The following is a 25,633-nucleotide window of genomic DNA, read 5'->3' on the forward strand; positions in this document are numbered from 1 at the left end:
CCACTCCTAGGGAACTAATCCATTCCCTGGATTGATTGAGAACTCACTCACCCTCACAGAAGGACATTAATCTGTTCCTGAGGGATCTGTCCCCATGACCCAGACACCTCCCACTAGGCCCCACCTCCAACATTCCCACATTGGGGGATTCCATTTCAGCATGAGTTTTGGTGCAGACAAACCATATCCAAATGATAACAACAGTAAAATCTTAATTTAGCTTGAAAACCTATATGTATGTATGTATTTTTTAAAGACTGGACGGAAGCATACCAAAATAATGAGTTATCTCTGAGAGGTGAAGTCTCATGTCATTTTAATGTTTTCATGTTATATTTTCAAATTTTCTACAGTTATCACCTATTATATTTGGTAATAAGAAAGAAAAGGTTTAAAAATAGCTCCCACAAAAGCCTCTCAAATTCCCAAGCTACCAAGAAACACATTGAAGAACAAGAGTGGAAAGCCAAAGAAAATGAAGAAATAATATTTCCAAAGTTACAAGGTGATTTAGGAACAGACTTTGGAGAGAGGGATGGAAAACACCAGGATCTCACGCATCTCGTGTGGACCTAGGTTGGAAAACCCCAGAAGTCATCTGTATTTTGATTTACTGTACTTGAGGCAATTTACCTCCGAAATACTGATTGACTGACAAGTATTCAATGTGGTCTGTACCCCTCTCACAGAGCAAGGGAGAGCCAGCCTGGTATAATATTTGGTCAGGACTCTCCCACAGTGGAGGACTTAGTGGATCACTGGGGACTGACTGAGAGAAACAGAGCCTCAGGCATAGACTGGTTACTGTCTGGGCAGTCCCTCATGCCTCTGTCCCTACCCACCATAGCTCCCAATTCTGATACCCTCTCCACTCCTTGATGGCAGCCTGTCCTTCCTTTCTTTCCAGTGCTGTCCTTCACTTAACATTTCCTCAATATCTGGGTTTGTACTGTATTAATTTGTACCATGTGTGTGTTTTTTTGTTTTTTTTTTGTTTTTTTGGGGAGAGAGAGAGTCTTGCTCTGTTGCCCAGGCTGGAGTGCAGTAGAGCAATCTTAGCTCACTGCAACCTCCGTCCCCCGGGTTCAAGTGATTCTTCTGCCTCAGCCTCCCAAGTAGTTGGGACTACATGTGCGTGCCACCACACCCAGCTAATTTTTTGTATTTGTAGTAGAGATGGGGTTTTGCTTTGTTGGCCAGGCTGGTCTCAAACTCCTGACCTCAGACAATCCATCCGCCTCAGCCTCCGGAAGTGCTGGAATTATAGTCGTGAGCCACCATGCCTGGCCTATATGCGTTCTATGTTCTGGTGTATTGAGAGGAGGGTTAGGGTTCACCCCACTTGCAGCTCTTCGGAAGAAGAGTCGTGTATGTCCCACAGCTGGGAGTTCTCTAAGGTGAGAGAACCTCCAACTTGGAGTTCTCTGGGGCCAGAAACAGGGTCAGCCTCCCTTAGACTGGGAGTTTTCCGAGGGCAAGGGCCATGTTCATCTCCTTTTGATTGGAAATTCTCTGAATACAGAGGCTGACCTTGGTCCTGAAGACCTGGTCCCACCATCCTCTGGCCCAGGGTTAATGTCTGATCTCTCCTACAGGCCCCTTCAAGCCCTGTGAGTACCTCTTTGAAAGCTGGGGCATCCGCCTGGCCGTGTGGGCCATCGTGTTGCTCTCCGTGCTCTGCAATGGACTGGTGCTGCTGACCGTGTTCGCTGGCGGGCCTGTCCCCCTGCCCCCGGTCAAGTTTGTGGTAGGTGCGATTGCAGGCGCCAACACCTTGACTGGCATTTCCTGTGGCCTTCTAGCCTCAGTCGATGCCCTGACCTTTGGTCAGTTCTCTGAGTACGGAGCCCGCTGGGAGACGGGGCTAGGCTGCCGGGCCACTGGCTTCCTGGCAGTACTTGGGTCGGAGGCATCGGTGCTGCTGCTCACTCTGGCCGCAGTGCAGTGCAGCGTCTCCGTCTCCTGTGTCCGGGCCTATGGGAAGTCCCCCTCCCTGGGCAGCGTTCGAGCAGGGGTCCTAGGCTGCCTGGCACTGGCAGGGCTGGCCGCCGCGCTGCCCCTGGCCTCAGTGGGAGAATACGGGGCCTCCCCACTCTGCCTGCCCTACGCGCCACCTGAGGGTCAGCCAGCAGCCCTGGGCTTCACCGTGGCCCTGGTGATGATGAACTCCTTCTGTTTCCTGGTCGTGGCCGGTGCCTACATCAAACTGTACTGTGACCTGCCGCGGGGCGACTTTGAGGCCGTGTGGGACTGCGCCATGGTGAGGCACGTGGCCTGGCTCATCTTCGCAGACGGGCTCCTCTACTGTCCCGTGGCCTTCCTCAGCTTTGCCTCCATGCTGGGCCTCTTCCCTGTCACGCCCGAGGCCGTCAAGTCTGTCCTGCTGGTGGTGCTGCCCCTGCCTGCCTGCCTCAACCCACTGCTGTACCTGCTCTTCAACCCCCACTTCCGGGATGACCTTCGGCGGCTTCGGCCCCGCGCAGGGGACTCAGGGCCCCTAGCCTATGCTGCGGCCGGGGAGCTGGAGAAGAGCTCCTGTGATTCTACCCAGGCCCTGGTAGCCTTCTCTGATGTGGATCTCATTCTGGAAGCTTCTGAAGCTGGGCGGCCCCCTGGGCTGGAGACCTATGGCTTCCCCTCAGTGACCCTCATCTCCTGTCAGCAGCCAGGGGCCCCCAGGCTGGAGGGCAGCCATTGTGTAGAGCCAGAGGGGAACCACTTTGGGAACCCCCAACCCTCCATGGATGGAGAACTGCTGCTGAGGGCAGAGGGATCTACGCCAGCAGGTGGAGGCTTGTCAGGGGGTGGCGGCTTTCAGCCCTCTGGCTTGGCCTTTGCTTCACACGTGTAAATATCCCTCCCCATTCTTCTCTTCCCCTCTCTTCCCTTTCCTCTCTCCCCCTCGGTGAATGATGGCTGCTTCTAAAACAAATACAACCAAAACTCAGCAGTGTGATCTATAGCAGGATGGCCCAGTCCCTGGCTCCACTGATCACCTCTCTCCTGTGACCATCACCAACGGGTGCCTCTTGGCCTGGCTTTCCCTTGGCCTTCCTCAGCTTCACCTTGATACTGGGCCTCTTCCTTGTCATGTCTGAAGCTGTGGACCAGAGACCTGGACTTTTGTCTGCTTAAGGGAAATGAGGGAAGTAAAGACAGTGAAGGGGTGGAGGGTTGATCAGGGCACAGTGGACAGGGAGACCTCACAGAGAAAGGCCTGGAAGGTGATTTCCCGTGTGACTCATGGATAGGATACAAAATGTGTTCCATGTACCATTAATCTTGACATATGCCATGCATAAAGACTTCCTATTAAAATAAGCTTTGGAAGAGATTACACATGATGTCTTTTTCTTAGAGATTCACAGTGCATGTTAGTGTAATAAAGAGATAAGTCCTACAGTAGTAAAATCTATTGAACTTTGTTTACCCAGTTCCCTGAATTATTTGGTAACAGGTTTTTGTCTGCTTATTTGGTTTTCCTGGAATATCTATTAACATGACAGAACTTAGCACTGTTCTCTCCCAGGGAGCTCATCTCTGTACCACCTAGTGCTACCGAGTGACATCACAAAATGCCACCACTTCCTGAAAGCCCCGATCCTAGAATGAACTGCCAGAGGTAATTGATGACTCCATCCACCAGTAGAGACACTCAGCACTTTACCTCCCACCTCTCTTATCCTATGCTGGGAAGGATGAGGAGAAGCCTGCCGTTGTGGTTCCAGACTCAGACCCCTGAGTTGGGGCAGGGAGAAAGGGATCCCTGTGTGTTCTCTCACCACCCTGCCATCAACCCCAGCAAGCCCAAGCACCAGTGAAAGTTTGTCTGCTGCAAGAGGGATAGTAGGGTTCCTGGGTCCTGGCAGGGCTGTCTGGATTCCCTCTGGCTCTTTGTTGCCTTCTTATGCTTCTCCACCAGATGCCCCTGCCACCTCCTGTCACAAGCCAGGTCCTGCCTACTCTTTGGGACAAGGAGGCCTTAGCCAGAAAACAGGAGAGATTTGAATTGTAGATATTGCATTTTAGGAAATTGTAGTTTTCTGGGACCCTGGGTGTCTCAGATAGGCCGCTGACCCTTCTGCCTCTCCCCTCATGACCTTTCTACCTGTGGTTTACCACGTGTCTCTGAGCATTTCCAGAATGCCCCCCTCACCCAGCCCCAAACACACACATATTCAATCTGAGAGTGAGGCGGTAAGAGCTGGGGCATCCTTCCAGACATTAAAGGTAATTCTTGGAGACATAAAAAGAGAATCCAAGACTCAGCAAAGGGCAAGACTTGCTCTAGAGTACCCCAACATCAGTCACATCTACAAGACAGGAGTCTAGAATTCTGAGACCAGATGGAAAACAATCTTCTTCCTGAATTCTGGCAGGTCCTCAGCCAGGCCCTATCCCCAGGGGCTCCACTATTAAAACAACAAACCTGAGGAAAACCCTTCTTCTAATTTTGTAGTTCAAGTTTCTGCAGCTTAGCTTCTCTGCTATCTCCCTGCTGTCCCCAATGCCTAGTGGAAATTCTGACACAGGACAAAAAGGCTGCCTAGGCTGAGGTAGGTAGGGTAGCTCCATGGGTGAAACTTGCTACATTTCTAAATCTTATCTGACTAATTGCCTGGTCTCTTATAGGCTCTGAAGCAGAATGCGCTGACCTTGTAATCCCAGAAGAATCTTAGGGTCCTACCATGAGGCCAGCCTCGCTGTAGGTACTCGCTAATGATGGCAGGTGTATTTATCAGTTGTTTATTTGAGAACCCTGCTCTCCCAATTTCCCCAGGGCTGATCAAGAGCCCTTAAAGGAAGGAGTTTGCTCTACTTTGGATACTGAGAATTGGTGACTCTTATCAGGGAAAGGAGTTCTTTGCTTCAGGGATGACAAAACTTGTACAATTTTTGGGAGCCTTGACTTGTAAAAAGTCACCCCAGATCCCTTCTCACTTCTTGCCCACGCCATGTGATCATTGTTCCCCTTGGAGTTAGGGAGTCTGTGTTGAGGTGGAGCACAGTGACCATGTGTTAGAGGTTTAGGAGTTACAGGAACTGCTCCCTACAGGTGGCCTCTTCTATGAAAAGGGGACCGATGATTTTTGGCTGCAAGCTGAAGGGTAGCACCACTGTCACCTTATCACCTGCTTCTAAAGATCCAGACGTCTGCTGGCCAGAGGAGCATCTGCTGAACCTTCTCATTAGAGGAAAGGTGTGGAGGAAGGGAGTGGAGGTGTTTGCCATGAACTATTTTCATTATTCAGAAAGTCTGGTCGATGTACACTTACCCGAAATAAAGCTGAGCAGTACAGTTTCTTTGTTTTTTGATTTTGACTGAATTTCTAGCAAGTCAGTATGTTATTTTGACTGAATTTCTAGCAAGTCAGTATGTTATTCCTTTGGTTATCTTCATTATGATCCACAGAAGATTATGTATGTCTTTGATCACAAAATCAAAAAACAAATTATTCATTGCATGCAAATGCATTTTGTTGGGTTGGCAAAATCTTCCAGAATGGTATCCATGGGGAAGAATCTGTCCAAGAGGGCTGTAGTGGTGGCAACGCTGAGAACTGCTGACTGGGTGTGTGTTGCCCTGTGCTCTGTGTGCAGTGCATTGGCAACTGGTGCCAACCACAATCTCATCTCAGACCGATTTGTGGAAGAGAACCTCTTATGGCAGAAATGGTTTTTATAAGCAACTTTGAACATACCAATGGTGAAATCCAAAAAACGCAGAGCTGAGATTTGAAGACTATGGATGAACAGAGCCCCTAGCTGGGACTTCTCCTTGCTTTCCTCTCTCCTCCTCTAGCCTCCAATATCTTTCTAGTTTCCCTTTCCAGGAAGAATAAAAGGTCTAAAGAGTAGGGGAAAGGAAAAAGGAAGAGCTGACAATAAATAGGCCTGAGTGACAATAACGGGAAGTTGCTAGAATGCTTTTTTGTTTGTTCTTCTATGTTTTCTTTAAATTTTTTTACCTTTTTTAAGCATTTTTATTTATTTTTTATTTTTTTATTTCTTATTTCATAAACCAACATCAGAACTACAGTAGCTAGAACCCTTGATCCCGTCTGGTACCATCTAACTACCTCTGCTCTGCTTTATAGCAAGCTCTCCCAACCCCCACCCACCCACCACCCACCACCCCCCACCTCGCACCCCGCCCCCCACATCACTTCTGGGTTTCAGTTCCATGCTCTCTCCAGTTGCTTGAAGTATAAGGATTGTCAAGATGTAAATATTTGGATTCTTCTGTATAATAAAGCACAAGTGAAGTACGATGTGTGTCCCTCAACTCCTTTCTGCTGCCTCTGGTGGAGCCATGGAAGTGGCCAGAGGTATTTGAGAGAGGAGTGATCAGTGGCAAGGCTCTTCCTTAACCTGTCTTCTGAGTTCTGGGGCACCTAGGGCACAGCCAAGGAGGCTCAGAGTTGAAGTTTGGAGGCATCAGAATCCATTCCACTCACCTATATCAAAGTGCCCTTTGTGTGCTTGCCAGTGGATTAGACATAGAAAAATCTAAAGAAAGCAGTGGGCTGGGCGCGGTGGCTCACGCCTGTAATCCCAGCACTTTGGGAGGCCGAGGCGGGCGGATCACGAGGTCAGGAGATCGAGACCATCCTGGCTAACACGGTGAAACCCTGTCTCTACTAAAAATATTAAAAAAAATTAGCCAGGCATCGTGGCAGGCACCTGTAGTCCTGGCTACTCGGGAGGCTGAGGCAGGAGAATGGCGTGAGCCTGGGAGGTGGAGCTTGCAGTGAGCCGAGATTGCGCCACTGCACCCCAGCCTGGGCAACAGAGCGAGACTCTGTCTCAAAAAAATAAATTTAAAAAAATAAAAATAAAATAAAAATAAAAATAAATAAAGCAGTGAGCAGGTTGGGCCTTCATTATTCAGACCCTGAACACCTTCTCAGACCCAACCCTTAATGCTGGGGTTTCCTGATAATGTGAACCCCAAAGAATCAGCTTGCTTTCCTGGCCTTGAGTGCACTCTCTCACTCACTCTCTGCCTTGGGAATCTTTACCCCCCTGTCCCTGGCCCAGCCTTGCTTCAGAGTGGGATGATGCCCTCAAGACAACCAGGTAGCCCCTTCTCAGGGGAGGGAAGATGGAGTTCAACAAAACTTGCAATCATGGGGCCAAGGTGCTAGCCCCAGAATGGTATTAGGGCTTTACTGATCTAATGCCTGACTCCCTTCTGAGTGGAAAACTGGTGCCTTCATGAGTACCTGCCCTCCACTCTTGAAAACAGAGTATTTCAAACCCTCCATCTTTCTGGCTCAACTACAGGGAAGACCATTTCTTCAGCTGTTCTTCTTAGACTGGATTAAGAGACAGAAACTCAGGAGTTAACTCAAGTAAGTACGTGTTTCTTGAGAGGATCCATGTGAAGCAATAAGAGAGGCAGAATCTCAGCAAATAGATCCAAGGCCAAAAAGAACAGTAAGACTGGGCCTTGTGGTACCTGAAACTAGAGGCCATTCTGAATTTAGTCTGTGATTATTCCCTGTGGTGCCCACAATTAGCCGGTTCAGCTGCTCTCTGGAGGCCTGTTTTTATAGCTATCTGCTTCTCAACCACAATCAGCTGCTCCCACCCACCCCTTTTGTTTAAAAAGCTTTTCATAAATTTAATCTTTGAATAATACATTCACGTGGTTCAAATAACACGTTCTTAACAAGCTTCCCTCCCATCTCTGTCCCTACTGGCTCGCTTCCCAAGCCCTCATTGGTTACCACTGTTATTAGTTTCTTATATATCCTCCCAGAGTTTTGAAAATATATATACCAGCAAGATGCATATATATGCTTATTTTTCCTTTTTACCCAAAGTAGCACACCACAGTTCTGCTTCTGCTTTTTTAACCTGTAATATAGCTCAAAGACGTTTCCACATCAGTAAAGAAAGCATTCTAACATTTTTGAAGCAGGTTATATAGCCCATTATGTAGATGTATCATGATTTCATCTTATTCCCCTTCTGATGGACATTTGGGTTGCTTACTCTTTTGCTCTTATAAACAATACTTTAAAAAGTAACCTTGCATGAATGCAATTCAGCACCTGTGTAAGTAAATATATCTGTAAGATAAATTCCTAGAAGTGGAATTGCTGGGTCAAAAGAATAATTTTTCAGAGGATACATGTGAAGCAATAAGGGAGGCAGAATAATTCTTTTGGCCTAGCAATGGGGTAAAGAAAAGGTATGATTATTTATTGCATAAATGAATTGTTTCCTTTGGCTCATAGCCTGTGTTTATGGGTAACTTCTGCTTATGTGTACCTCACTATGATCCCTGTCCTTCCTCAAGGTCTCTGGATGCATCCTTTCAGCTTTCAGTTCCTGGGGTAATTTCCTTGTTGCTTTCCTTTTTAAGTTTCCAAGGGTAATATCCTGAAAGATTGAGAAAGAACCGAACTAGCCAAATTTCCTTTTCTACGATAGGCCAAATCATAGGTTAATGGCCAACAGGTGGGTTGATCACTCTTAGGCCAGGAACCTGTCCTGGTTCACTAAATTGTAGTGTGTGAATGGGTATGTTTGTGTGGGGTTATATTGGACAAAACATAACTGCTCAGGGCTTCCCTTGTGCAAGGGCTGTGGGCAGGGCTACTTTTCTCAGAATGGATAGTAGGCACAGCAGGAAAGTTCCATGAGAGCAGAGATCATGCTGGTCTCATTCACTGTTGTAACCTCAATCCTTTTCATGAGGTCTAGCACAAAAAAAAAAAGGTGCTCAATTAATTTCTTTTGAAAAAAGTATTAAGAAATTAATAGGCCGGGCATGGTGGCTCACGCCAGTAATCCCAGCAGTTTGGAAGGCCAAGGTGGGCAGATTGCTTGAGCTTGGGAATTCAAGACCAGCCTGGGCAACATGGTGAAACCGCATTTCTTAAAAAAAAAAAATACAAAAATTAGCTGGGCATGGTGGCGTGCACCTGTAGTCTCAGCTACTGAGGAGGCTGAAGTGGGAGGCCTGGGAGGTTGCAGTAAGCCGAGATCATGCCACTGCACTCCAGCCTGGGCAAGAGCCAGACCCTGTCTCAAAAAAAAAAAAAAAAAAAAAAAACAGAAAAAAGAAAAGAAATTAATATATCCAAGTACATCCATTAGGATTCTGTTTTTCAACCCAAAGGGGCCATCTGGCCAGAAGATGTATAACGCAGAATGGGCAGATATTTATTTATTTATTTATTTATTTATTATTATTATTATTTTTTGAGACGGAGTCTCGCTGTCTCCCAGGCTGGAGTGCAGTGGCGCGATCTCGGCTCACTGCAAGCTCCACCCCCTGGGTTCACGCCTTTCTCCTGCCTCAGCCTCCAGAGTAGCTGGGACTACAGGTGCCCGCCACCACGCCCGGCTAATTTTTTTTTGTATTTTTAGCAGAGACGGGGTTGCACTGTGTTCGCCAGGATAGTCTCGATCTCCTGACCTCGTGATCCGAGAATGGGCAGATATTTATATGGTGAGATTTGAAGGCTACCAAGTTCCCGGAGCCTCTACTTTATAACAGCTTCTTCCCTGGCTACCACAGAGGTTGAAATGCCACCATCATTGTTCCTTATTCCTTCAGGTTAGGAATAGCCCATAGCCCTTTGCCCAGGGTATCTGTTCCTTTAGAAGAAAGGAAGTGGCCACTTCCTTTCTTCTGGTAACATCAATTTGACCTTCTTCAGGCAACTACCTCCACTGCTCTCTACTGCATACCTTTCAGGTGGGGTTGACTCAAGGCCAGGTTCCAGAGGTGGGAATATAACCCAGACCCTATCAGCTTATTCTAATCCCTGGCCATAGTGATTGGTCCAAGGATGGGCTTACATCTCAAATCCTTCTAATGAGACCCAACTTGAGAACTTTGCTGGTGCTGATAGGAAAGAAGTACTCTTTCACTGGAGTTGCTGGACTGGTAGGAAGAAAGCTGCTGGTGTCTATCTTGCCACTTGGAGTGAAATGAATCCTGATGGCATTATTTGAGCATCTGTACCTAGCCATGCCTGAAAGCACATTTGGGCTTCTCAGATTGTGAACCAATACCTTTTGTTTGCTCAAGTGAGATTGTTAGATTTCTGTCACCCTCATGGAAAAGAAGCCAGATAGGCTTCTCCCTCTGCATTGCTCTCTACCTACGGCCCAGGAGTAAACCCACTGACCTCTTTTCAACTATAGTGTGGAAGAGGGCAGTTACTGAATGAAATTAAAAAAAAAAAGTAAGACAAGGTCTTGCTTTGTTGCCCAAGATGGAGTGCAGTGGCACAATCATGGCTCCCTGCAGCCTTGACCCCCCGGGCTCAAGCAATCCTCCCACCTCAGCCTCTTGAGTAGCTGGGACTACAGGCATACACCATGAAACTCAGCTAATTTTTTAATTTTTAGTAGAGACGGGGGTCTCACGATGTTACCTAGGCTGCTCTCAAACTCCTGAACGCAAGCAATCCTTCCGTTTCGGCCTCCTGGAGTCCTGGGATTACAGACAAGAGCCACCATGCATGGCCTGAATAGGAATTTCAATGAGCAAAAGTATGTGATAAGACAGAAGTACTGTCAGGATGAGTTAACAGGTAGAGACTGTGGGCCTGGGTGGAAGATCCTTAGCAGGTTAGCAGGGAACCTACGGCAAGAGAATGCTGAAGAAGTAAAGATAATGAAAAGGGAAGATGAGAAGGAACAGACCAACCTAATTTACTTCATCACTAAACCGGAGATCCACAGGCTCTCCCCTGAGCCCCTGGATTACACAGGAAGTTTCGGAATTGCAGAGCTGTCGAGTGTCAGCTTTGGGAGAAATCTCAGAGAGCATTCAAGCCATGCCTGCATTTTATAGAGGAGAAAATGGAAGGGGAGAAACTTGCCCATTATCCCATAGCTACTCTGTGGAGGCAGACGTAAAATTATTAGAACAGGGCCAGGAGTGGTGGCTCACGCCTGTAATCCCAGCACTTTGGGAGGCCAAGGTGGGCGGATCACCTGAGTTCAGGCGTTCGAGACCAGCCTGTCCAACATGATGAAACCCCATCTCTACTAAAAATAGAAAAATTAGCTGGGTGTGGTGGCAGGTGCCTGTAATCCCAGCTACTCGGGAGGCTGAGGCAGGAGAATTGCTTGAACCTGGGAGGCGGAGGTTGCAGTGAGCCGAGATCACATCATTGCACTCCAGTGTGGGTGACGAGAGTGAAACGCCATCTCAAAAAAAAAAAAAAAAAAAAAGAACAGAATCCATACAGCTGACAAATATGATTCTGGAGTCATACATGCCTGGATTTGAATCCCAGACTTAGCATTAACAGCCAGTTGTCCTTAGGTTAACCTCTCTGAATCTCAGTTTCATCGTAAAATGGGGATAATCATAGTATCTAAACTCTGAAGGTTATTGAAAAAATTTAAAAAGATTTTTCATGAGGCCAGGCACGGTGGCTCATGTCTGTAATCCCAACACTTTGGGAGACCAAGGCGAGTGGATCACCTGAGGTCAGGAGTTCGAGACCAGCCTGGCCAACATAGTGAAACCCCATCTCTACTAAAAATACAAAAATTAGCCGGGTATGGTGACATGCACCTGTAATCCCAGCTACTTGGGAGGCTGAGACAGGAGAATTGCTTGAACCCAGGAGGCAGAGGTTGCAGTGAGCCAAGATCATGCCACTACACTCTAGCCTGGGTGACAGAGCAAGACTCTATCTCGAAAAAAAAGATTTTTTTTTTTCATGTGAAGGGTTTAGCTTAGCGCATGGCAATAACTCCCAGGCCTAGAGACAACGTAGAGACTAAGAACTCACCCCCTAGAAAAGTTGCCTCTGATGGAAGGTTTGAGGGGAGGAACTGTCAGAGCAGACCCTTTTTTTGAAGCACAGAGTTTCAGGGCCCTGGTTAAAGGAGGAAGACAGTGGAAGGAAGGGGACACACTCTATTGGGATGTGGGATCAGGGGAAAAGGTGAGCAAGGAAAACAAGCACATGAAAGGGAAAAACCCTGTATTGGGGTGGGAGGGCAGGTAGGATGAGCGTGACATTCTGGATAAACTGTCATCCCTGATATAAACTAAGAGATGGTGAGAGGGATGGATGCTCTCTGGGGGCCATGGCAGGAGACAGGGGTGACTTGCCAAGAAGCAAGGAAAAAGTGGAATGTGTTGTTGCTGTGTGTAGCATGTCCGTGTCCATCACCCCAACCTCTCCTGGGCTTTGCTGGCAGCCCAGTGTGGTCCAGGACTGTAAGATGTCTTGCAGCCAGCCATCCCGGGGAGCAGGTTCTGAAATCATAGCCCCACACCTCTTCCTTGTCCTTCCCTCCCTTGGGTTGCCCCAACCTAAACAAGACAACCTGGGCAGGGGGGCCACACGCTGATGGAAAAATACACACTTGGCTGGAAAAGGAGCTTTATTTGTATGTGTTGAATTCCCGCAGCAGCCGAAGGATAAATAGCTAGTTCCAGCCTCAGCTGAGTCTGCCCACAAGGTGGGTGGTAAAATCTGTTCTTATTTAGATAGCTTTTGGGGAGAGGTGGAGAGGGGGGTTGGGGGCAGCAGGAGAGGGGAACTTGGAATCTGCAATGTTTATATGATCAGTCGTGGATGTCATCTCTCTTTAATCAGGGGTTTGGAGTTGAGAAAACAGCTCAGCTTGCTTATCCTAGGAACAGAGCAGATTGGCAAGTTGGCAGTGGGCAGGGCAGCTCCTTAAGACCCACCTGTGGTTGGATCGCTGTCTTCATCCCCCCAGTGCCCTTGCTAAGCACTCAGTAAATGTCAGCACCGTGCCAGGCCCTGTATTGGATGCTTTACATGCATCATCTCATTCAATCCTCACAACAACCTCATGAGTCTTAAGCATCATCATCACTTTTACAGACGCAAAACCTGAAAAAACAGGAGGACTGAGTAGAAAGCTAAGGGCACACAACTTGCAAGCAGCACTGCCAGAGCTGAAACAGGGTCTCCTTGACCTAAGTCCATGCTTTTAGCCTTTTCCCATCCTTCCCTGAGCTGGAAATAAGGAGCTGGGCTTTTAAATCCTCAGGCATGTCACTTCTGTTCTCTAGCCCAGTCCTCGGTACTTCAGGCAGAGAAATGGTTGGATGACTTCTAATAGCTTTTGGCTCTGGTGTTTCTTGTGATTAGAGAGAAAAGTTCCTTGTAGCCACTATATCCCCAATGCTTAGAGTGAGACAATATACACATTAAAAAATGAACACATTTCCAGATAGGTACAAGTGCTATAAAGAAAATTAATTAGGGTAATAGGCTATGGACCAGAGAGTACCTGAGGATCTAGGGCTCCTTTAGATGGGATAGAAAAGGACTTTCTGAGGCAGCTACATTCAAGCTGAGACTATCCTGGGGTATGTAGGAAGCAGAGGTTATAGCATATGTGAAATCCCTGAAGTAGGGATGAGCTAGCTGTGTTCAAGAGATTGAAAGCACTGTGTGGCTGGAAGAGCGTAAGGTATAAGGGGTTGAGGGTATGCAATGAGGATGGATAGATGAGGCAAGCAGGGGCCAGATCATGCGGGGTCTTATGGGTCAGGGAAGGAGACTAGGCTTTTAATTGCAAGATGAAGCCACTTGGAGGAATGAAGCCAAATCTGACTCACATTGTCAAAGATTATTCTTGCTGCTGTGAAGAGCATGGAGTGTCAAAGGTCAAGAATGGGGAAGGAAACAAGATAGAAGGCTATGGCTAAAGTGCAGGTGAGAGATGATGGCAGCTGAACTAGTGTTTTAAGTAGAGGTAGGGAAAAGTAGCTGGTAGAGCTGACTAGACATGGTGATAGAAGTGTAAGGGGTTTTGTCCTATAGGAGGTGCTCTTTTCCTACAACTACTCCCTAAGTCCATCTCTCACTTCATATCTGGGTTTAGCCCAGAGCAATCAGCACATGGCATTTCCCTGGCCACAGTGACTGCTTTCAGGGCAGTCCACAGGGACTTTTGTTTCATGGAAAGTAGAGCCTCCCGGCCTGGCTGGATAGAAAGTACATAACCCCAACTGCTGCTGGTAGTCATCCTAGGAGGGGAAGAAACTTAAGGAAGAAACAGCCTAAGAGAAAGCTGATACTATGGATGGCAGATGGAGAGACCAAGATCTTGATGATATTGTTGAGCCTTTGAATTTACCAACCCAGATGTTCACTCAACCCCTGGACTTTCTATTTAGTAAGGCAATGAACTTCTTTCATTATCGCCAGTGTGAGTTGAATTTCACTCACAACTCTAAGTATCCTAATTTATATACTAACGGTATCTAGGAACTCCAAACCTGACTTAAGTATGCATAAGCATAGGAAACAAGCCTGGAATAGAATTAATTCCTGGGCTTTAAAAAAAGACAGTAACTGATTTTGAAAAGTGGGTTCAAAAATTCTGTAGAATTAGAAATTTGTATTTTTAGCTTCTGCCATGACCTGTCATTAATGGATTACATAAATTCATACTTCTTGTTGTCTTTGCATGAGTCCAAACACCACATAAGCAGTACGGCAGGCTGCTGCTCAGTAAAGAGTACGAGGTAATTCATAGGTAGATGAATGAAAGGTGCCTATTCAGAGATGCATTTTACATGCATGGTGCCTAGCCTAGGTAAAAAATCATCATTGCTACACTGTGATATGGACAAGGGCATTACAGTCTTTAGTCATCTGCCTAGGCAGGTCCAATATCTACAATACATTCCTCAAAGTCTTCGCTTGGCCTGGGTGACCTCTTCCTACTTCAGCTGATTTCTGCTCAAATCTGTTATCTCTGTCATTTAAATAGAATTATAAAGATAAGTCAAGTATATTACAAAATCATGAGTAGGGAATTCAAGTTTGGCACCGAATTGTCCAGAATGGTACTTGCCATAAAATGATGCTGGAGAGAGGAAATCCCTACTTAAATTTGTATGAGTATTTGGTTAATCTCACATCTGATTTTCTCATCATTTCATTCTCAAACACCAGCATAATACTTGGCACATAGTAGGTGTTCAGTAAGTATTTGTTGAACAAATGAAAGTTTTATCACAGAATTCTGGTCAGCTATGTAAATCACAAGAAGTGAAAGCTGCAAAAAAACAAATTTGCAAAAGGATCTATTATCTTCTTCCCACATTATTTTAAGACCTCAGAAAAGCTATCACCCCTGAAAGTGTAAGGGTAATTGAATTGTTTCTACAGCTATTTTACATCTGTGTCAAACATTCAATATCCCTAGTGATGCTGGTAAGTTGGCAAACTAAAGGACAACAATTCCAAATATTTTAACATTCTGATTATATAGCTCTCTGGCCAGTTTACTCCCAGACACACATTCAGGATAAACACATACTCAACATTAAATGACTATTTATTTTTCAGGTTTAAAAGATTTCAAAATACATATGTACAAGATAAATAAACTACACAAAAATTATGTCATCAAATATATTTAAAAAAAAATTCAAGGTAGGCAACTTAGATCACCTTGGCAAAGAACACATTAACTAAGATGAACCAGGACAAGTCCCCTAAACATCAGGATGAAATTTCTTTTCTATGCCTACTAGCTGACTGGCCTTCCTTTTCTGTGTTGAGTTGTGTACTCTGGAGTCACCAGCCTCTGGTAGATTATCAAGCATCTCTTCCTCATCAGCCTAAAGAGGAGACAGGGTGAAACACAGTAAGGTTCACACAAATGCCAGGATGGAGAAAAATGAAGCTCTGTAATATTATTTCCATGTACTTCTTTGTTGCAAGATTTAAATACAGTATTATGCATACGATATTCTCTCAAAGACATCTTCCTCAATTTTTTTGTTTTAATTTTTATTTCTTTTTACAAGTAACACCACTGCTATTTAACTCAATCTGAAAGATGGCATAACTCAGCAAGAACTATGATGTGCTACTTTCCATGTTCCTGTAATTTGAATTTTGCTAAATGAGGAAATTCTATCAACCTGAAGTTTTTCCTTTAACTTTCTTCCATGAATGGTCCCCTAAGAAAAGTTTCCCCCATCTCTGCAACTAGTCCCTGCAAATATAGATTCTTCTCAGTGTTAAAAGGACAACTTAGAAAAAAAGAATCTGAGACACCACTCCACTATCCCTGCTACCTGCAATATAAAAAAAATTAACCAGATGCTGCCTGCCGTCTAGTGTTGCCCAATAGGTGACAACTGTTATGAAACATCTACTGTTAGTTGAGCTATTAGGCTATTTTGCTGAATGATTATTTAGAAGGTTGCAATAGGAGAAAAAGATTAACTAGTCATTCTAGAGTTCAGTACAAATTTGGCAAATCTAAAAAACATTATTTAGGCCGGGCGCGGTGGCTCACGCCTGTAATCCCAGCACTTTGGGAGGCCGAGGCGGGCGGATCACGAGGTCAGGAGATCGAGACCATCCCGGCTAAAACGGTGAAACCCCGTCTCTACTAAAAATACAAAAAATTAGCCGGGCGTAGTGGCGGGCGCCTGTAGTCCCAGCTACTTGGGAGGCTGAGGCAGGAGAATGGCGTGAACCCGGGAGGCGGAGCTTGCAGTGAGCCGAGATCCCGCCACTGCACTCCAGCCTGGGCGACAGAGCGAGACTCCGTCTCAAAAAAAAAAAAAAAAAAAAAAAAAAAAAAAAACATTATTTATACATATATACTTTATACTATATATACTTAATTAACTGACAATAGTAGCAAACATTATACCTTTTGTTTCTGTCTTGCATGCTTCTCTGTCCACTGTCTGGCATTCTTGAGGAAGGCTGGCTTATTATATTTAAATTCTGAGGACTGAGATGAAATCAAAGAAAAGAGTTAATGGAGAAAAACATGATTTGCAGTGGTTAGAGCTGCTGCAGCTATCCTCACACAGGGAGAGTTAGCGGTATAGACAAGGTAGGATATGTGTTGCAGAGGAAAATGGGGATATTTACTATGTCAGCCATGAGCGGGTCATCAGGGTTGGGTTCTGACATGAGCAGCTGAATAGAGGTCAACACAGTTGCGATGTTGAGGGATGGTCTCCAAGCACCCTATATACAAACAGATGAACAGTTGCTTTTATATTAGAATGTGATCCTCTAATTCAAGTTTAATAGATGAAGAAAACAGAATGCTGTAGAGTCAACCATTTACCCACAACTCACTTTTGGTGGCAATTTGAGAACATCCAGACAAATCCTTCCAGCAGAATCAATGTTTGGATGATAAATTGGAGTGAGAAATCGGATCTGAGGAGGTTCAAATGGGTACCTATGAAAGAATAAGACAACAGATAATTTTCATTACATAATTTTGCTTCTAAATACATTTAAATAGTTTCTTGGTCACAATAATTTTGGTATTATAGAAATGTCAGGGAGACTGCCTTTGGGAGGCAAACTTTCTCTCTTCCTAAATTTTCACTATGAAAATTTAAAATAAATCAGTTTGAAATAACAGTATTGAAAACATCCATATATCTACCACCTGGATTCAAGCCACTTTACCTCTAAATACTCCAGCATATCTTCTAAGAATAAGAACATTCTCCCATATAAATGCAATACTATTACCCCTTTGAAAAATTTAAGAACTAATTCCCTAATATCATTTACTGTTCAGATTTCAGTTGTTCTCCCCAGTTTTTTTTTTTTATTGCTGGGTTTTTCAAAACAGGACCCAATTACAATTCATACGTTGCATTTGGTTATTATGTATCTTTAGTGAGACACCGACCTTGCAAAGTTCCCAGTCTATTTTTAGAACTGATGCACCACATGATTATTAAGCTGTTCTCCCAAGACTTTAACAAGTTTGGCCAGGATCTGACCTAGTGATTAGATGTCTATGTTTCAACTGTCAGATAGTCATTTCTTCCCTTCCCCGTTCTGTACAAAACTACAACTGTAACTCACCTGATGAGAGCCTTAAAGGAGACTTGAATTAAAAGGGGCCTTAACCATAAAAAGAACGAGATCATGGTCTTTGCAGGAACAGAAAGCCAAATACCACATGCTCTCATTTATAAGTGGGAGCTAAATGATGAGAACATATGGACACAAAGAGGGGAACGACAGACACTGGGGCCTACCTGAGGGTGGAGGGTGGGAGGACAGAGAAGGGCAAAACTACTGGATACTAGGCTTAGTACCTGGGTGACAAAATAATCTGTACAACAAATCCCCGTGATATCATGAGTTTACCTATATAACAAACTTGCACATGTACCCCGGAACCTAAAATAAATGTTAAAAGAAAAAGCCGGGGGGAGCTTAATGTTAAGAAAGCACAATAGTGGTTGCCAGGGGCTGAGAGCGGGGAGAAATGGGGAGTTAGAGTTTAATGGCTATGAAGTTTCAGTGTAGGAGGATGAAAAGTTCTGGAGATAAATGTTGGTGATGGTTGCATAACAATGTGAATGTATTTAATACCACTGAACTGTACACTTAAAAATGGTCAACTTTATGTTATGTATATTTTATCACAATTTAGAAAGTGAGGGGGTCTTTGATGTGATCTCGCCCATTGTTCTGGAGAAGGAAACTGAACTCCAGAGAGAGAAAATAACTTGGTCGAGGTCACCTTAAGTCATGATAAGGCCAGGATTAAAACCTAGTCCTTTATGCTCTATCTACTACATTGCTCTGTCTCCCAATTTATAAATGCACTTCACCATGTAGGTTGAGAAGCTGATTCATACTAACCTCTCAGGAATGATAACTTCTAGCTTAAAAACACCTTTCTCATAAGGTGTGTTGGCTCCACCTAATATTTCTTAAAAGAAAAAAGAAAGAAAAAGTTAAAAGGGAATCAGATCATTTGAATTACTACCATATGGAGCTAATGAGGTCTATGGTCCTAATAGAGAAACTAGGCCTAGGACAATAATTCTCTGCCAGGACTTTAACAAGTCCTCATGCAACACACCACAATGCTAATGTACTCAAAAAGTTAATGGTGTCAAACAAAGGACATATAGAAAATCTAAAGCAGAAGTTGCAAAATGCTGGCCACAAGACCAAATACAACCTATAGATTTGTTTTGTTTGGACCGCAGTATTCTAATCATGTATGTTTCCCATCTGGCCTCACAGATATTTGAGATGGTTATCTTTGATCTAAACACTGCTTCACTGCTTTAAATCTTGGCTATAAATCAGCATAAGGTATAATAAAAAGTCAAAGAAGCAAGAAATGTCAAGCAAACCTTTTATAAATGTAAACAAATTTGGGTAGAAAGATGGTAGGGCACTCTGACCTTATAACTGCTCCTTACTTTAGAAGAATACACAAAATGTTTTATTTCAGCACAATCTTCAATAGGGTCATGACTTTCATCATATACATGATTTGATACCTACGAGCTCGCAGGTCATCCATTTGGTCTTTATCTTGCCAACATGTGATGCCTGGGGGTGGCTCTGTGGCTAACATGTGCAGCTCTCTCTTCAGACGTGAAGCTCTCTGCATGATCCCCAAGTAGAAGGAACCACACACAGTTCACTGCTCCACACTAAGAGCTGCCTGGGATGCACTGGAGGAGAAAAGAGGTGACCATAAAATCATCAGCAATAATGACTATGAAGTTTTCAGCAAACAGCTTCAATGTAGTGAGGGTGGGGGACAGAGTCCTCTTTTTTGTTTTGAGACACAGTTTCACTCTGTCACCCAGACTGGAGGGCAGTGACACCATCTCAGCTCACTGCAATTTCCACCTTCTGGGTTTGAGCAATTCTCATGCCTCAGCCTCCAGAGTAGCTGGGATTACAGGCGTGCACCACCATGCCCAGCTCATTTTAGTATTTTTAGTAGAGACAGGGTTTCGCCATGTTGGCCAGGCTGGTCTCAAATGCCTGACCTCAGGTGATCCGCCTGCCTTGGCCTCCCAAAGTGCTGGGATTACAGGCGTGAGCCAATGCACCCAGCTTTTTTTTTTTTTTTTTTTTTTTTTTTTAGAGGCAGGGTCTTGCTCTGTCACCCAGGCTGGAGTGCAGTGGCACAATCTCAGCTCACTGCAATCTCCACCTGCTGGGCTTAAGTGATCCTCCCATCTCAGCCGCCTATGTAGCTGGAAGTACAGGTGTGTGCCACCACGCCAGTCCAAGATTCCTCTTATTAATCTCTATTCTGACAAGGGAATCTGAGTTTTTCCACTCCCTTCTTGTGAACGTTTATCTATACAAGCAAATATATTTTTAAAATAAAGAACTAAAAATGCAAAAAGTTCTACAAAAAATAAAAACACTAAAGGTTTTAAATAATGGGTGTTTCCACTGATAAATTATAAACTCATGAGGCCAGGCCTGGGTCTGATTTTGCTTACTATTGTAGCCTTAGCATGCCTGTCATAGTAAGGGATTTGACAAATATTTGCTGTTGTGAGGAAGTCTACATATGCTTTGTGAGAGCAAGAATGGTAGAGATAGTCAACATTCTCAGGTACAAACAAATGTTAAATGTCCGAGTTTCTCTCCATGTGCTATGGATTCCACCTTCTCCCAATCTTCAGGGATACCATTCCATCAATTATTCCATCTTTCTTACCCTCAATGTTCAAATATGCTCAAAGTCTCTCTCACCTAAAACCAACACCTACACACATATTCACCCAACACTCTTCTCAACTCTAGTTCTCTCTTTACTAACCAAGCAAAGGACACTAATCCCTTTTGTTTTTTAGACGGAGTCTCGGTCTGTTGCCCAGGCTGGAGTGCAGTGGTGCGATCTCGGCTCACTGCAACCTCAGCCTTCCGGGTTCAAGCAATTCTCTGCCTCAGCCTCCCGAGCAGCTGGCATTACAGACGCCCGCCACCACGCCCGGCTACTTTTTGTATTTTTAGTAGAGATGGGGTTTCACCATCTTGGCCAGGCTGGTCTTGAACTCCTGACCTCGTGATCCACCCACCTCAGCCTCCCAAAGTGCTAGGATTACAGGCGTGAGCCACCGCGCCCAGCCAACACCAATCCTTTAATGTGTTACAAATATCCCCCAGTTTGTGCTTATCTTTCCATGTTGTACATGGTGTCTTTCAATAAACACATACTCTTAACATAATCAATCTTAAAATCTCTTTCTTTACATTTATACTTTGTGTATTAAATTTTTCCTTACCCCCAAATGTAGAGATATTCCTACATAGCCTTCAAATATTTTATAATTTTGCTATTCAAATTTAAATATTGAATCCACTAGGAATTGAATTTTATGTATAGTGAGTGAGGTGGGGGTCCAATTTAAAGTTTTTCCCCATATGAATAGTCAATTGTTCTAACATCATTTACTGAATCAGTCCATCCTTTCCCTGCTGATATTACTATAAATTAAATTTCTATATGTGTGGATTTGTTTTGGGACTCTTGAATTTGTTCCACTGGTCAAGTGGATTATTTCTGAGACAATACTCCACTGTTTGAATTACTATAGCTTATTCATTTTTTATTATTTAAATTTTTTCCCAGCTTTACTGAGGTATAACTGGCAAATACAAATTGTATATATTTAAGGTGTACAATGTGATGTTTTACTATAGCTTATCCACCTGGTCTTTTTCTTCAGGAATGACTTGATTATTCTTGACTCTTTGCTCTTCCATATAAATTTGAGAATCAGTTCATAAGTCCATAAATATATACATAAATATGTATATCTGAAATTATAATCCAAATCATAACAGGGTTCTGTGGTTTGGATTGTAATTTTATTGATGCTATAGATCAATTTGGAGATAACTGATATCTTTATGATATTGAATCCTAAGATCCATGAACACGCTGTTTCAGTCTTTTTTTTGATGCTTTCCAAAGGTTTTATAATTTTCTCTATAAAGCTTTATCTAATTTTTGTTAGACTGATTTCTAAGTATTTATATTTTTGCTATCTTTTCAAAAACACTATTTTCTACCCATTTCTTACTGATACATGTAAATCTAATTGATTTTTTTTTATTTTTTTGAGATGGAGTTTTGCTCTTGTTGCCCAGGCTGGAGTGCAATGGTGTGCTCTTGGCTCACCGCAATCTCCACCTCCTGGGTTCAAGCGATTCTCCTGTCTCAGCCTCCTGAGTAGCTGGCGTTACAGGCATGCACCATTAGGCCCAGGTAATATTGTATTTTTTTAGTAAAGACAGGGTTTCTCCATGTTAGTGAGGCTGGTCTCGAACCACGGACCTCAGGTAATCCACCCATCTCAGCCTCTCAAAGTGCTGGGATTACAGGCATGAGCCACCTCGCCCAGCCAATCTAACTGATTTTTAACCAAAGCCTTAGTAATGCTAATGATGAATCTATTTGGGGTGGGGAGCAGTCTGGGAATGGTAATTCCACACTGCCAATCATGTCATCCACATATAATCAAGTTTATTTCTTCCCTTCTAATTCTTTTCCTGCCTTCTATTCTGACAGTAACTTCTAGTACAATGTTAAATGAAAAAGCTGATAGCTGGGCCAAGCATGCTGGCATGAGCCTGTAATCCCAGCTACTCAGGAGGCTAAGGTGGGAGGATGACCTGAGCCCGGGGAGACTGAGGCTGTAGTGAGCCATGATTGTGCCACTGCACTCCAGCCTGGGAGGCAGAGTGAGACCCTGTCTAAACAACAGCCAAAAAAAAAAAAGAAAAAAGAAAGAAAGAAAAGCTGATAGTTGGCATTCTTGTCAGATTTCTAACCTTAAAGGGAAAGCTTTTAACACTATGCTAATCAGTAAGACTGGCCTATAACTGTCCTTTCTAATTTTGTCTTTATTAGCTATCAAGGTTATGCTAGCCTCCTAAAATGAGTTAGGGAGTATTGCCTCCTTTTTTTTTTTTTTTTTTTTTTTAACATATTGTGGATTAGTCCAAGAGATAATTTGTTACTAGGTTGTCTGGAATAACTCCATCTGATCCTGGTGTTTTCATTTTGAGAAAATTTTAACCTACAAATCCAATTTACTTGAATCTTATTCAAGTTATTTATTCTTGCATCAATTTTGGCAAGTTAAATTTTTCCACAAATTTATCTATTACATGCAATTTTCAATTTATTTGTATAATGTTTTATCTTTTTAATCTGTAGTTATCTATGGTTATGTTTCCATTTTCATTTCTAACACTGTTTATCTGTGCCATCTTTTCTTTGATCAGTCTTGCTGGGCATGTATCAACCAAAAGGAAGTTCAAGTTTTGGTTCCACTGGAAAGAATAAAAATTTATGACAAAAATAGAAAATGAGAAAAAATACTTTTTTCTTAAAAATAAAGATTTTTTGCTGGAAGTGTTTTGTACTTCAAGATCACGCCACTGCACCCCAGCCTGGGCGATAGATTAGGACTCTGTCTCAAAAAAAAAAAAAAAAAAAAAAACATCTTCGTCCAAACACGTACTATACATTTTTTCTTGTCATTATTCCCTAAACAATACAGTGTAACAACAATTTACTTAGCATTTTATTAGGTATTATAAGTAATCAAGAAATAATTCAAAGTATATGGGGGTGGGGCTGGGCACGGTGGCTCACACCTGTAATTGCAGCACTTTGGGAGATCAAGGCAGAAGGATCACTTGAGGCCAGGGGTTCAAGACCAGCCTGTGCAACAAAGGAGAACCCCATCTCTAAAATAAATAAAGTATATGGGAGGACATGCAGAGGTTCAAGACCAGCTTGTGAGGCCTGGCACAGTGGCTCACGCCTGTAATCCCAGCACTTTGGGAGGCTGAGGCAGGTGGATCACTTGAGATCGGGAGTTCCAGACCAGCCTGGCCAACATGGGGAAATCCCCTCTCTACTAAAAATATAAAAATTAGCCAGCTGCGGGGGTGGAGGCCTGTAATCCCAGCTACTCAGGAGGCTGAGGCAGGAGAAAGGCTTGAACTCAGAAGGTGGAGGTTACAGTGGGCTGAGATCGCGCCACTGTACTCCAGCCTGGGCGACAGAGCAAGACTCTGTCTCAAAAACAAAACAAAACAAAACTGGCCAGGCATGGTGGCTCACACCTGTAATCCCAGCACTTTGGTAGGCCAAGGTGGGTGGGTCATTTGAGGTCAGGAGTTTGAGACCAGCCTGGCCAACATGAGGAAACCCCATCTCTATTAAAAATACAAAAATTAGCAAAGTGTGGTGGTGCACGCCTGTAATCCCAGCTACTTGGAAGGCTGAGGCAGGAGAATGGCTTCAACCAGGAAGGCGGAGGTTGCAGTGAGCCAAGATCGCGCCACTGCACTCCAGCCTGGGTGGCAGAGCGAGACCCTTTCTTAAAAAAAAAAAAAAGAAAAAAAGAACCAGCCTGTGCAACAAAGGATATCCCCATCTCTTAAATATAAAGTATATGGGAGGACATGCATAGGTTATATGCAAATACTACACCATTTTATATCTGGGACTTGACCTTTGGTGGATTTGGGATCTGCAGGATGTCCTGGAACCATCCCTCATGGATACAGAGGGTTGACTGTACAGTAAAAGTATCACAAGTATAAAGTATACCTTTATATAAAATGAGAACAGTGGAAAGCCATGGTAAAAGGATTAGAACAAGCAAGACAATTTCTCCCAAGGAAGCAACCAGACTCCAGCCTCACTATGTTAACCAAAATTGGCATATGCCATTCTTTGGCTCAAATGCCATGAATAACTGCCTATTTTTCAGGGTATAAAGGTTCTTTACAATCTAACCCTTATATCCCGCCTTATATCCAGTATCTACTCTCCACAAACTCATGCTTCAGCCACACTGCACTATTCCTGCTGCCCATAAAAGTTTTATTCTTTCACACCTTTAGATATTAAAGGTTACATATTAAATCACAACTCCTTCTCCAGTAATGCCTCCCCACCACTCACACCTTTCCAACGTCACCCTCTGTGCGTCTACATCTATTTGCATCGTGTTCTAATTCACCTGACAGTTTCTTCTCCTTAGGAGGAATTCCTTGACAGCAGGTCCCTAGTCTTTTTTTGTATCAAGTCTGCAGTAAATTTGGATAATTAATGAACGAAACGTGGGTTTGGACCAGATGTTGAAGAAGACAAAAGAACAGGCCGGGCGCGGTGGCTCACGCCTGTAATCCCAGCACTTTGGGAGGCCGAGGCGGGCGGATCACGAGGTCAGGAGATCGAGACCATCCCGGCTAAAACGGTGAAACCCCGTCTCTACTGAAAATACAAAAAATTAGCCGGGCGTAGTGGCGGGCGCCTGTAGTCCCAGCTACTTGGGAGGCTGAGGCAGGAGAATGGCGTGAACCCGGGAGGCGGAGCTTGCAGTGAGCCGAGATCCCGCCACTGCACTCCAGCCTGGGCGACAGAGCGAGACTCCGTCTCAAAAAAAAAAAAAAAAAAAAAAAAAAAAAGAACAGCCAGTGCACAACCCGCAGCAAGTACTGGGCTGTTATGTCCCTTCTAGTGGCAAATTTCTCCCTGCTGTGGCAGGAGGACGGCTCGGGGGAGCTCTGACCACGATTTCATGCAAAGATACGGTGAGACCCTCCGCTCAACAGTGGCTTTTCTAAGGCTCTCCTTTCAGAGGAGACGAAAACTCCCATATTAGGCGGAAACAGGACTCCTTCCCCCCAAGACTCAGTGACCTTCTCCAGTGTACCTTCTTTCAGATGGGGAACCGGAATACTCTCCTTGCTTACCTGAGCTGACACCCCTCACAACGCAGCAACGCGCGGACCAACGGGGTACCAGCGCCTGCGCGACCTCTGACTGTTGGCGTGGCTCCGCCCCCTGT

The 25,633-nt window shown here is 44.2% G+C and overlaps 2 protein-coding genes across 21 annotated transcripts in view, besides 4 other annotated features; one reads left to right on the forward strand and one right to left on the reverse strand.

Moving 5' to 3' along the window:
* Positions 1-3,405, forward strand: part of LGR6 (leucine rich repeat containing G protein-coupled receptor 6) — a 125,963-nt gene extending 122,558 nt beyond the window's left edge. For all 19 annotated transcript variants that reach the window (NM_001017403.2, XM_047426928.1, XM_047426929.1 and 16 more), the window contains one exon: positions 1,596-3,405. In NM_001017403.2, the coding sequence (NP_001017403.1) occupies positions 1,596-2,851 (1,256 nt within the window). In that variant the 3' untranslated portion in view covers positions 2,852-3,405. The remainder of the gene's footprint in view (positions 1-1,595) is intronic.
* Positions 2,065-2,225: a silencer, noted in NCBI's record as "fragment chr1:202287549-202287709 (GRCh37/hg19 assembly coordinates)". NCBI's record gives its function as "represses an EF-1alpha promoter that drives an FKBP-Casp9 reporter gene in an ReSE screen in K562 erythroleukemia cells {active_cell/tissue: K562}" and the evidence as "EXISTENCE:reporter gene assay evidence [ECO:0000049][PMID:32094911]".
* Positions 15,301-25,580, reverse strand: UBE2T (ubiquitin conjugating enzyme E2 T). Of its 2 annotated transcripts, none has more exons than NM_014176.4 (7): positions 25,539-25,580; positions 19,290-19,462; positions 18,633-18,702; positions 17,094-17,199; positions 16,881-16,979; positions 16,654-16,737; positions 15,301-15,604 (listed from the first exon to the last, which is right to left on the reverse strand). In NM_014176.4, exons 2-7 carry the CDS (start codon positions 19,396-19,398, stop codon positions 15,479-15,481), a joined length of 594 nt encoding a protein of 197 aa, NP_054895.1. In that variant the 5' UTR covers positions 19,399-19,462; positions 25,539-25,580; the 3' UTR covers positions 15,301-15,478. The 2 variants fall into 2 exon arrangements, with proteins under 2 accessions (NP_054895.1, NP_001297255.1); NM_001310326.2 differs by having other exon boundaries at positions 19,286-19,462.
* Positions 20,185-20,709: an enhancer, noted in NCBI's record as "H3K4me1 hESC enhancer chr1:202305669-202306193 (GRCh37/hg19 assembly coordinates)". NCBI's record gives its function as "activates a minimal SCP1, AML or CMV promoter by ChIP-STARR-seq in primed H9 embryonic stem cells {active_cell/tissue: H9 hESC(primed)}" and the evidence as "EXISTENCE:reporter gene assay evidence [ECO:0000049][PMID:30033119]".
* Positions 20,710-21,233: an enhancer, noted in NCBI's record as "H3K4me1 hESC enhancer chr1:202306194-202306717 (GRCh37/hg19 assembly coordinates)". NCBI's record gives its function as "activates a minimal SCP1, AML or CMV promoter by ChIP-STARR-seq in primed H9 embryonic stem cells {active_cell/tissue: H9 hESC(primed)}" and the evidence as "EXISTENCE:reporter gene assay evidence [ECO:0000049][PMID:30033119]".
* Positions 24,650-25,275: an enhancer, noted in NCBI's record as "H3K27ac-H3K4me1 hESC enhancer chr1:202310134-202310759 (GRCh37/hg19 assembly coordinates)". NCBI's record gives its function as "activates a minimal SCP1, AML or CMV promoter by ChIP-STARR-seq in primed H9 embryonic stem cells {active_cell/tissue: H9 hESC(primed)}" and the evidence as "EXISTENCE:reporter gene assay evidence [ECO:0000049][PMID:30033119]".

Source organism: Homo sapiens, chromosome 1 (assembly GCF_000001405.40).
Source record: "Homo sapiens chromosome 1, GRCh38.p14 Primary Assembly".
NCBI classification, from domain to species: domain Eukaryota; kingdom Metazoa; phylum Chordata; class Mammalia; order Primates; family Hominidae; genus Homo; species Homo sapiens.